The sequence below is a fragment of the Homo sapiens genome, chromosome 16 (assembly GCF_000001405.40).
Source record: "Homo sapiens chromosome 16, GRCh38.p14 Primary Assembly".
In the NCBI taxonomy this organism is placed as follows: domain Eukaryota; kingdom Metazoa; phylum Chordata; class Mammalia; order Primates; family Hominidae; genus Homo; species Homo sapiens.
Genome location: NC_000016.10, coordinates 69,781,062 through 69,793,418, shown reverse-complemented (window position 1 = coordinate 69,793,418; position 12,357 = coordinate 69,781,062). Strand labels below are relative to the sequence as shown.

The 12,357-nt window shown below is 45.5% G+C and overlaps 1 protein-coding gene across 12 annotated transcripts in view; it reads right to left on the bottom strand.

Annotated features, from left to right (window-relative positions):
- WWP2 (WW domain containing E3 ubiquitin protein ligase 2) overlaps positions 1-12,357 on the bottom strand; it is a 179,408-nt gene that overhangs the window by 148,321 nt on the left and 18,730 nt on the right. For 7 of the 12 annotated variants that reach the window (NM_007014.5, NM_001270454.2, XM_011522825.2 and 4 more), the window contains one exon: positions 6,339-6,423. In NM_007014.5, coding sequence (NP_008945.2) covers positions 6,339-6,408 — 70 coding nt within the window. In that variant the 5' untranslated portion in view covers positions 6,409-6,423. Of the gene's footprint in view, positions 1-6,338; positions 6,424-10,266; positions 10,388-12,357 lie in introns of all 12 variants that reach the window. The other 5 variants (XM_017022879.2, XM_047433520.1, XM_047433523.1 and 2 more) reach the window with 3 other exon arrangements.

The following is a 12,357-nucleotide window of genomic DNA, read 5'->3' as shown; positions in this document are numbered from 1 at the left end:
TTAAACTCTTTCTCTAATGCAATGCTACAGTCCCAGTGAATTTATTTATTTATTATTATTATTTTTTTAGATGGAGTCTTGCTCTGTCACCCAGGCTGGAGTGCAGTGGTGCAATCTTGACTCACTGCAACCTCTGCCTCCCAGGTTCAAGCAATTCTCTGCCTCAGCCTCCCAAGTATCTGGGATTACAGGCGCCTGCCATCACACCCAGCTAATTTTTTTGTATTTTTAGTAGAGACAGGATTTCACCATCTTGGCGAGGCTGGTCTTGAACTCCTGACCTCATGATCCCACCTAGGCCTCCCAAAGTGCTCGGATTACAGGCATGAGCCACCGCGCCCAGCAGTGAATTTATTTTATCTGTGCAGTGGGCAAGAAGAACCCACTGGGTGATTACAATTGTTTCCTCATGATTAGATTCGGTTTAAAGGCCAGGCACAGTGGCTCACCCTGTAATTGCAACACTTTAGGAGGCCGAGGCAGAAGGGCCACCTGAGCCCAGGAGTTCGAGACAAGCCTGGGCACCACAGCAAGACCCCAAATCTACAAAAAATAAAATATTAGCCAGGTGTAGTGGCTCACACCTGTAGTTCCAGTTACTCGAGAGGCTGAGATAGGAGGATCCCTGGAGCCCAGGAGGTCGAGGCTGTAGTGAGCTGTAATTGTGCCACTGCACTCTAGCCTAGGTGACAGAGTGAGACCCTGACTCAAAAGAAAGAAGAATACTACATAAGTTATGTCGTGTACCTCTTACCACATACATTAGGTTGTCCTGCCATTGGGGATACTAAGTTTGAACATCTGCTTAATGTGGAGTTGGCCAGGTCTCTCCACTGACACATTTGTAACCTACAGTTAATCAGCAGGGTGATATTTTGAATATTTCTTGTTCTTAAAAGACAGGCTAAAATAAAGATATGAGCAAGTTTATCTAGAAAGTCTCTTTCATGAAATATATCTTTATACACAGAGTCACGACTTTATGTGAGATTTAGCTTTTAAAGTCAACAAATCAGGCAAAAATCATATAAAGACAAAATTATACACTGAAAAAGCTCTTAAGAAGGGACCACAATAGAGTCTGGCATCTGCTCTCTCAATAAGTTCCAAACAGCTTGTTTCTTGTTTTATTATACTATGCTTTTCAGAGATCAGTTTTTCAGTGTTTCTCTAGTAAAATATCAAATAAAATAGCTGTCCTACGTTTAAGGGCCTCGATGCATTTAAAAATATACCTTAAAACACCAGGATCACACTGTGGGCAGGCACAAGGGAACTGGAAACCGCGCAGTCACACCCCACAGGTTACACTATCAGCTTTCTTCATGAAATGCACGGGAAAAAGAACCACCTACGCTATTTAAATGGTTATTTCTCTCTTTCTCTTTCCCCCCACCATTTTCCTGAATGGTATTACCAAATCTGTGTAGGTTAAATATGTGTATAATGAGATACACCAGTATTATCAAGCTGGCTCTTTCCACCCTGGTAAGAAAATTCACCTTCAAGAAAGGCAACAAAAAAGCCTTTAGAAGTATGTGCTGGACAGGTGCAGAGGCTCACATCTATAATCCCAGCACCTTAAGAGGCCGAGGTGGGGGCCAGGCACGGTGGCTCACACCTGTAATCCCAGCACTTTAAGAGGCCAAGGTGGGAGAACTGCTTGAGTCCAGGAGTTTGAAACCAGCCTGGACAGCACAGCAAGACCTATCTCTATAAAAAAAATTTAAGAATTAGCTAAGTATGGTAGTGTATGCCTAAAGTCCTAGCTACTCAGGAGGCTGAGGCAGGAGGATTGCTTGAGCCTATTTTGAGGCTGCAGTGAGCTGTAATCATGCCACTACATTCCAGCCTGAGCAACAGAGAAAGACTGTCTCAAAAAAAGAAAAGAGGCCAGGTGCAGTGGCTTACGCCTGTAATCCCAGCACTTTGGCAGGCCGAGGTGGGTGGATCACCTGAGGTCAGGAGTTTGAGACCAGCCTGACCAATACGGTGAAACCCTGTCTCTACTAAAAATACGAAAATTAGCCGGGTGTGGTGGCAGGTGCCTGTAATCCCAGCTTCTTTGGAGGCTGAGGCAGGAGAATTGCTTGAACTTGGGAGGCAGAGGTTGCAGTGAACCAAGATCACGCCACTGCACTCCAGCCTCGGCGATAGAGCGAGACTCCGTCTCAAAAAAAAAAAAAGAAAGAAAAAAAGAAAAGAAGTAAGTGTGCGTGGCTGAATAACATGGCCCCAAAACAGAGACCTCAGGATGTTACCAGGTCCAATAGGCCAACTTCTGCTTTGACCTAGACTTGCTAATTATTAGCTAAGGTAATAAAGTCTGTAGCCCCCAGTTTAAAACCATATTAGTTCACTCTAACTCATCTCCCTACTCAAAAGGGCAGAAGCAAGGCAAAAGACTCCAAGAAATATAATTAAAATATTTCAAGACTACAAAAACAATCAATAATGTAATAAGAAACAGGCAAAGAACATGAACAGGCAATCCATAGGAAAGGAAATACAACCGCCCTTAAATATATAAGATGCTAAACACTGGCCGGGTGCAGTAGTTCACACCTGTAATCCCAGCACTTTGGGGGGCTGAGGCAGGCGGATCACTTGAGGTCAGAAGTTCGAGACCAGCCTGGCCAACATAGCAAAACCCCATCTCTACTAAAAATACAAAAATTAGCCAGGTGTGGTGGCACATGCCTGTAAACCCAGCTCCTTGGGAGGCTGAGGCATGAGAATCGCTTGAACCCAGGAGACAGAGGTCGCAGTGAGCCAAGATCACACCACTGCACCCCCGCCTGGGTGACAGAGTGAGACTCTGTCTCAAAAACAAACAAAAAAAAAGATGCTAAACATCATACAGTTGACCTTTAAACAAGAGAGGTTTGAACTACAAGGGTCCACTTTTACATGGATTTTCTCCTGCCTTTGCCACCCAAGAGATAGCAAAACCAATCCTTCCTCTTCCTCCTCCTCCTCAGCTACTCAACATGAAAATGATGAGGATGAAGACCTTTATGATGACCCACTTCCACTGAATAAATAGTAAAATTTTTTTCCTCCTTATGATTTTTTCTCTAGCTTATTTTATTGTAAAAATACAGTATATAATACATGTAACATACAAAATACGTGTTAATCAACTGTTTCTCTTTTTTTGTTGTTTTCTTTGAGATAGAATTTCGTTCTTGTTGCCCAGGCTGGAGTGCAATGGTGTGGTCTCGGCTCACAGCAACCTCGGCCTCCCGGGTTGAGGCGGTTCCCCTGCCTCAGCCTCCCAAGTAGCTGGGATTACATGCGCCTGCCACCACGCCTGGCTAATTTTTTTGTGTATTTTTAGTAGAGGCAGGGTTTTACCACATTGGCCAGGCTGGTCTCGAACTCCTGACCTCAGGGAATCTGTCTGCCTCAGCCTCTCAAAGTGCTGGGATTACAGGCGTGAGCCACCGCACCCAGCCAATCAACTGTTTCTGTTATTGGCAAGGCTTTCAGTCAACAGCAGGCTATTAGTAAAGTTTTGGGGGAGTCAAAAGTTACATGTGGATTTTTTTACTGAGCAGGGAATCAGCACCCCTGACCCTCATGCTGTTCAAGGATCAAATGCGTAAGTAAAGAAGTGGGAAATAAAACTACACTGAGAACACAAGCTTGCACCAATGAAACAGGCAAAAGTTAAAAGTCTGACAACATTGTGCTGGTAAAGATGTAGGGAAACAGGCACTCTCGCACATTGCTAGAAGGGTATTCCTTCCAAGGAAGGCAATCTGGCTCTCAAAATTACAAAAATGCATCCCTTTTGGTGTATCTTGGAAGAGACACACAAGAAACAATACTGGTTTTTTCCAAGGAGGAGCACTGAAGGACTGCAGGAAAGAATTTTGAACTATAGGAGGCTGGGCACGGTGGCTCACGCCCGTAATCCCAGCACTTTGGGAGGCCGAGGCGGGGAGATCATGAGGTCATGAGTTTGAAGCCAGCCTGCCCAATATGGTGAAACCCCATCTCTACTAAATATACAAAAAGTAGCCAGGCGCGGTGGCACACGCCTGTAGTCCCAGCTACTGAGGAGGCTGAGGCAGAAGAATTGCTTGAACCCGGGAGGCGGAGGTTACAGTGAGTCGAGATCGCACCACTGCACTCCAGCCTGAGCAACAGAGCGAGACTCCATCTCAAAAAAACAAACAAACAAAAAAGTTAGCCAGGCCTGGTGGCACACACTGGTAATCCCAGCTACTTGGAAGGCTGAGACAGGAGAACTGTTTTAACCTGGGAGGAAGAAATTGCAGTGAGCCGAGACAGCGCCACTGCAGTCCAGCCTGGGCGACAGAGCGAGACTCTGTCGCAAAATATAATAATAATAAAATTAAAAACTAAGATTTTTAAACTCCATGAGTATATTATATAAATAACATTTGCATTTCAAAAATACTCAAGAAAAATATTCCCAAGAGACACAATTTTGCCTCTGGAGGACCAGGCTGAGGGGTCTGAGCTCAGATACTGAGAGCCACTCTCCCATCTGTGATGGCTGCAGAGCTATGGAACCCGAAGCAATATTCTTTCGTTCAGGCACTATTTACTGAGGGCCCACTATGTGTCAGGCACTGTTCTACTGGCTGGGGTAGTTAACAGTGACCAAAGCGACAAAAATCTCTTACTGTGGATCTTACACTCTATTGAAGGAGACAGTCAACAAATGAAATAAATTAATTAAACAGGGACAAGGGCTGATAAGAAAAATATAAAGAAGAGAGGGAAATAGATGTGATGAAGTCAATGAGAAAGGTGGCGTTGGATCAGGGGATCAGGAAGAGGGTGGCTTTTGAGAAAACGCCTAAGGAAATAATGAAGCGAAAAGCATTTCACTCAGAGGGAACAGCAAGTGCAAAGGCCCAGAGGCAGACGCCTGCCCAGTGTATTCACTGAAGAGCAAGGAGGCTGGGGCACAGAGAATGTAGACCAGGAACAGGAGATGAGAAATGTGGGGTGGGGAAGGGTCACATCACATGGGAGCTTCGGCTTCTACTGTGAAATGGAGCACCCTTGAATGGTTTGAGCAGAGGAGTGACAAGACCCAGCTTACATTTTTTTTTCTGAGACATGGTCTCGCTCTGCTCTGTTGCCTGGGCTGGAGTGCAGTGGCACAATCACAGCTTACTGCAGCCTCGAACTCCTAGGCTCAAGTGATCCTCCTGTCTCAGCCTCTGATTTTTTTTTTTTAGAGACGGGGGTCTTGCTCTGTTGCTCAGGCTGGTCTCAAACTCCTGGGCTCAGGTGATCCTCCTGCCTTGGCCTCCCAAAGTGCTGATATTACAGGCATGAGTCACCACACCTGGCCCCAGTTTACCTTTTAACAAGATCACTGGCTGCTGTGTGACCAACAGACTGAAGGAGGGCAAAGTGCAGAAGCCGAGAGACAGGACAGGAGGCTACTGCCTTAACTCAGGGTGGAGACAATGGTGGCCTGGACTAGGCTGGGACCTAGGGGTGGTGAGAAGTGGCTGAATGTTGAGTGACACATTTTGAAGATCGAGTCAACCAGATACGCTGATGGGTTGATACAGACAATGAGGAAGAAAAACCAGGACCTCAGCTATAGACAGGCTAAATTTTAGATGTTTACTAAATATTCAAGTGAAGGTAACAAACTGGCTACTGGTTATAAATCAGGAGTTCAGAGGTAAAGCCCAGAGGAGTGATCTTCTATTGGTGGCATTTAAAGCCAGAGGTTGGAAGAAGCACCTAGGGAGCGAGTGCAGGTAGCAACGAGCCCTAGGGCATGAACAGGTCACCATTTTATTTTATTCAGTTTTTATTTTAATTTGTTTTTGGGACAGGGTCTCACCCTGTTGCCCAGGCTGAGTGCAGTGGTGTGATCACAGCTCACTGCAGCCTTGAACTCCCAGGCTCAAGCGATCCTCCCACTTCAGTGTCCTTAGTAGCTGGGACCAGCTAGCATGCACCACTATGCCTGGCTAATTATTTTATGTTCTGTAGAGACAGGGCTTCCCTATGTTTCCCAGGCTGGTCTTGAAACTCTGGGCTTAAGGGATCCTCCTGCCTCAGCCTCCCAAAGTGCTGAATTACAGGCGTGAGCCACTGCACCTGGCCTGAAATCACCATTTTAGACAATTTTAGCTAAAAGTTCCCTATTTTCCTGCTCCTTTATTTTCTTTCTTCTTCAAGAATTACAGCTACAAGATGACAATCCCATGAGAATAAATAATTAACACATGTAAACTATTTCACAAAATTTGGCTCCCCAGACCAAGGTGTGGTTAGATTCTCCCTCTTCCCTGGGCGTAGACAAGATGAAGACATTATACAGTGCCACTCACCTTTCAAAGTGAGCTGAGACTTCTCAAAAGGCAGGGCCACTCCTGCCCGGCTAGAGCTGGCAGATGCCATATCATCACCGTGAAGCTGTAAGACAAACAGAAAAAAGAATTCAGAGAATATCTGATAAGAAGACAGAGGAGTTTAACTCAATTTCAATATTTAAGCTTAAAGAAACAGGCAAGAAAATAGAAACGTCCAAGCAACTGCAACCAGGGTATAGTTTGTCTTATAATGACTTAATGAACCTGGACAGGTCTTAGGATAGACTAGAAAGGACACAGGACTGTTATAGCAAAGTCTAGAGGAGGCAGAGTCTACTAAGACACCTCTGCCAGGCATGGTCGCTCACGTCTGTAATTCCAGCACTTTGGGAGGCCGAGATGGCCAGATCACCTGAGGTCAGGAGTTTGAGACCAGCCTGACCAACATGGCAAAACCCCGTCTCTACTAAAAAATACAAAATTATCCAGGCATGGTGCTGCATGCCTGTAATCCCAGCAACTCTGGAGGCTGAGGCAGGAGAATCACTTGAGCCCAGGAGGCGGAGGTTGCAGTGAGCCAAGATCGGCCATTGCACTGCAGCCTGGGTGACAAGAGCGAAACTCCATCTCAAAAAAAAAAAAAAAAAAAAAAAAAAGATTGGCTGGGCGCAGTGGCTCATGCCTGTAATCCCCAGCACTTTGGGAGGCGGGTGGATTACAGGGTTGGGAGTTCAACACCAGTCTGGCCAAGATGATGAAATCCCATCTCTACTAAAAATACAAAAAAATTAGCCAAGCATAGTGGTGGGTGCCTGTAATCCCAGCTACTCAGGAGGGTGAGGCAGAGAATTGCTTGAACCCGGGAGGTGGAGGGTGCAGTGAGCCGAGATCGTGCCACTGCACTCCAGCCTGGGCAACAGAGCAAGATTCTGTCTCAAAAAAAGAAGAAAAAAAAAAAAAAGACATCTCCAAAAAGAACATCACAGATTCACAGCAGAAAGACAGCTAATCTAGTGTGCTAGCTGTAGAGCAAGTTTGCTGCAAACACCTCAAGGAGGGTCTCTGGCCAAATGAGTAGAATCTGACAGTAATCCTTGCTAAAAGTATAATGCAAGAAAAAAAAAAAGGAAAGAGAAAAAGAAGACAACTAATACAATTATTTAAATGGGTAGGCTGGGTGCAGTGGCTCATGGTCTGTAATCCCAGCACTTTGGGAGGCCAAGACAGGTAGATCATCTGAGGTCAGGAGTTCAAGACCAGCCTGGCCATAATGATGAAACCCCATCTATACTAAAAAACAACAAATTTGTCGGGCGTGGTAGTGGGTGCCTGTAATCCCAGCTACTCGGGAGGCTGAGGCAGGAGAATCGCTTGAACTCGGGAAGTGGAGGTTGCAGTGGGCCGAGACTGTGCCATGGCACTCCAGCCTGGGTGACAGAGCAAGACTCTGTCTCGAAAAAAAAAAAAAAAAGATGTGCAGCATCATTCGCCATGAGGTGTCCCTGTCATTCCGTCTTGGCTAGAAGCAAGTCTATCTTGTACTTTGAATGGATCTTTTACTTGTATGTGATTTTGGAATATCATCATTTGACATTTGAAAAATATTGGTTCATTGAGTTCTGCAGATTTTCCAAATGTTGACACATTTCATTATGCAATATCCAAAAATCACATTTGTGAATGTCACCACTGATCTCATCAGACAAGTCTTTAAGCATTGGGAAGCCATTGAGCTCTTGGTAGTAGATAAAAGCATTCCAAAAGTCTAACTTTCCCTTAAAACCTTTCACTTAAAAACTCATATCCGCTCCCCTTCCTCCCTCCTTCCATCATCTCTACTACCTTGTCTTTTGTCTTTTTTTTTTTTTTGAGACAGTCTCACACACCTAAGCTGGAGTGGTACAGTAGCACAATCTCGGCTCACTGCAGCCTCCACCTCCCAAGTTGAAGTGATTCTCGTGCCTCAGCCTCATGGGTAGCTGGAATTAGAGGCACCAGCACCACCTGGCTAATTTTTGTATTTTTAGTAGAGATGGGGTTTCGCCATGTTGGCCAAGCTGGTCTCGAACTCCTAACCTCAAGTGATCCGCCTGCCTCAACCTCCCAAAGTGCTGGGATTACAGGTGTGAACCACTGCACTCGACCACTCTTTCTTTTCTTTAAAAAAAAAAAAAACTCATATTTTATCATTGGTAACAAATACTGTGTTGTTTTCCTTGAAGTGTCGGGCTCACTTCATTCGTTTTCAAGAAAAGGCTTGCCAAATACCCAAATCTAGTAACACATTTGTCTGTTAGATGTTTAAGTAAAAATGGTACTTCACCCAAAAAGCAATTAATTCAGCTCTCAATTCAAACAACCGTGCTTTTTCCCAACACACCATTATACTTCAACAGGCGGCAGAAGAGCTTTTGGAGTACTGCCCATTTCAGCACACAGAATATTAAAAACACGTGCTCAGGAGTCAAGACTTCATAAAATTAATGAATTTTACCACTTCATCAAGGACATTCTCAGGCGAACCTGGCTTTTTCTTTTCTTTATACTGAGAGTATGTGTGGTGAAGGATACCATGACCACAGCAACAGCCCAATTGGTGCTAGCACCAACTGCTTTACTCACCTTTGCTTCTGGAACATTGGTGTGAATGGGATCACAGTGAAAAGGCAAAGTGTTAATGTCATTATGAAAATAATTTCGGCCAGGCACAGTGGCTCACGCCTGTATTCCCAGCGCTCTGGGAGGCCAAGGCGGGTGGATCACCTGAGGTCAGGAGTTCGAGACCAGCCTGACCAACATGGTGAAACCTCGTCTCTACTAAAAATACAAAAATTAACCGGGCATGGTGGTGGGCGCCTCTAATCTCAGCTACTTGGGAGGCTGAGGCAGGAGAATTGCTGGAACCTAGGAGTCAGAGGTTGCAGTGCGCCGAGATCATGCCACTGCACTCCAGCCCGGGCGATGACAGCAAGACTCCGTCTCAAAAAAAAAAAAAAAAAAAAAAAAAGAAAGAAAGAAAGAAAAAGAAAAGAGTTTTAACCTTGCAAAACCCTAAAAGAGTCTGGGAGACCTCCCAATGTCTGAGGACCACACTTGAGAACTGATGCTGTTAAATTCTTGTGCCTTTGTATCTTATGTTTTTTAGAGATGGTATCTCACTCTGTCGCCCATGCCGGGAGTGCAGTGGCATGAACATGCTCAGTGCAGCCTTGAACTCCTAGACTCGAGCAATCCTCTCACCTTGGCCTCCTGAGTAGCTGGGACTATAGATGTGCCACCACAACTCTAATATTTTGTTGTTGTTGTTGTTGTTGTTGTAGAAACAAGGTCTCACTACGTTGCCCAGACTAGTCTCAAACTCCTGGCTTCAAGCTATTCTTCTGCCGCAGCCTCCCAAAGTGCTGGGACTACAAGCATGAGCCACCAAGCCTGGCCAAAATTCCTGTTCTATTCAACATCATTAATACCTTCTGTCATTCTATTTGTATGTGACCTCTCTCCCTGCCTTCCCATTTTCTTTTTTTTCTTCAATATTATTATTATTACTATTTAGACACAGGGTCTGGCTGTATTGCCCAGGCTAGAGTACAGTGGCTACTCACAGGCATAATCATGGCTCACGGCAGCCTCGAACTTCTGCACTCAAAGTATCTCCCTGCCTCAGCCTCCTGAGTAGCTGGAAATACAGGATCGGACCACCAAGCCCGGTGCCTGACTTATCTTAAAGAGTTGTTCAGCTTTAAAACATGGTTATTAATTCACCATATTACTCTAAGAATGAAAGCCCTTGGCCAGGCGTAGTGGCTCACGCCTGTAATCCCAGCACTTTGGGAGGCCAACGCAGGCAGATCACTTGAGGTCAGGAGTTTGAGACCAACCCGGCCAATGTGATGAAACCCCATCTCTACTAAAAATACAAGAATTAGCCGGGCATGGTGGCACGCACCTGTAATCCCAGGTATCCGGAGGCTGAGGCAGAAGAATCGCTTGAACCTGGGAAGCAGAGGTTGGAGTGAGCTGAGATCACGCCGCTGCACCCCAGCCTGGGGGAGAGAGTGAGACTCCATCTCAAAAAAAAAAAAAAAAAAAGGACAAAAGCCCTTCATATGAGAATTAAATATAGTTACAGGAGAGGCACAGTGGCTCACATCTGTAATTCCAGCACACTGGGAGGCTGCGGCAAGAGGATCATGTGAGCGCAGGAATTCAAGACCAGCCTGGGCAACATAGTGAGACCTTGGCTCTATTTTATAATTTAAATTTCAATTTAAATAAATGTAGCTATGGCTAAGTGACAATGATGTTGACATTTTCCATAGCTAAAGTCAAACAATGTCACGCTCCAAGATTTTTAGCAAACTCGAACAGAATTTGTCTTATGTGATATATCTAGTTTCCAAAAAGATTTAAAGTGGCTAGTTTTTCTAGACTAGTCTGTAATAAGCATTTTACTTCCACTGGAAACCTCTGAAATGGTACTTAGCAAATGGAATACAACACCAAACTCTTCTTATCAAGAGCTCCAGAGAGACCTCCAGGTTACCAAATCCCATAGCAATTCTCCATCTCCTCTTACATGACTGACCTATTGGCAGCATCTGACACAACTGATCACCCTTTTGTTCTTTAACTGCTTTTTTCCCTCAGCTCTGGGGATACCAGTCCTGCCTCATCCTCCTCCTGCCCCACCTGAGCCTTCTTGGTTGGCTCCTGCCCCGTCCTCAACCTCAAGCAATCAATGTTCTACCTCTTCTCAGTTACCTCATTCTGTCTCAGGCTTTGAATGTCATCCCTCTGTTTGTCTGTTTGTTTGTTTGAGATGGAGTCTCGCTCTGTCACCCGGGCTGGAGTGCAGTGGCGCTATCTTGGCTCACTGCAACCTCTGCCTCCCGGGTTCAAGAGATTCTCCTGCCTCAGCCTCCCTGGTAGCTGGGATTACAGGCACCCGCTAACACGCCCAGCTAATTTCTGTATTTTTAGTAAAGACAGGGTTTCACCATGTTGGCCAAGCTGGTCTCGAACTCCTGACCTCAGGTGATCCGCCCGTCTCAGCCTCCCAAAGTGCTGGGATTACAGGCATGAGCCACCTCGCCCGGCTCCGAAAATTTAATCTTAACAGTATTGAGAGGTGGGGCCTTGAAGAGGTGATTGGATCATGAGGGCAGATTGATGTTACTTCAGGGCTGGGGCCACTATCTCAAGAGCAGGTTTGTTATAAAAGCAAGTTCAGCCCCTCACGTTTCTCTCTAGCTCTCCTGCCTTTCCTTCCACTTGGGATGTGGAGTACAAAGGCCCTTGCCAGGATGTGGGCCCTCCACCTTAGACTTCCCAGACTCAAATACAAAGAATAAATCTCTTTTCTTTATAAATTACCTAGTCTCTTTATAAATTATCCCGTTTCTATTATCCAGTTATAGAAACACAAAATGAACTAAGACACCGTCTAACTCAGAGTAAAAGCCAGCGGGCGCCTATAATCCCAGCACTTCGGGAGGCTGAGGCGGGCGGATCACCTTGTGCTCAGGAGTTCAAGACCAGCCTGGGCAACATGGTCAAACTCCATCTCTCCAAAAAAAATACAAAAATTAGCTGAGTGTGATGGCACATGCCTGTGGACCCAGCTAATCAGGACCACAGAGTTGGGAGGATCCCTTGAGCCCAGGAGGTCAAGGCTGCAGTGAGCCAAGATTGTGCCACCGCACTCCAGCCTGGGTGACACAGTGAGACCCTGTTTGAAAAACAAAAACAAAAAAAGAGTAAAAGCCAAAGACCTGCAAATGAACTTTGACGTCCTATGCAATACCTTCCCCCATTTCCACACCCCTCTCTGACCTCATGGCCCACTTCCTGCTCCCCAGTATCCCCCCACCCTCATCATGCTGTGATTACTGCCACACAGGCCTCCTCACTGTTCAACTATCCCTTGAACGTGCAGACAGACTCCCATCTCAGTTCTTTTTTTTTCCTTTTTTAAAGCCAAATTTAGCATTCAGGGGTTGTATACAAACTTTAGTGACACTAATGTTAATAAGTTCTG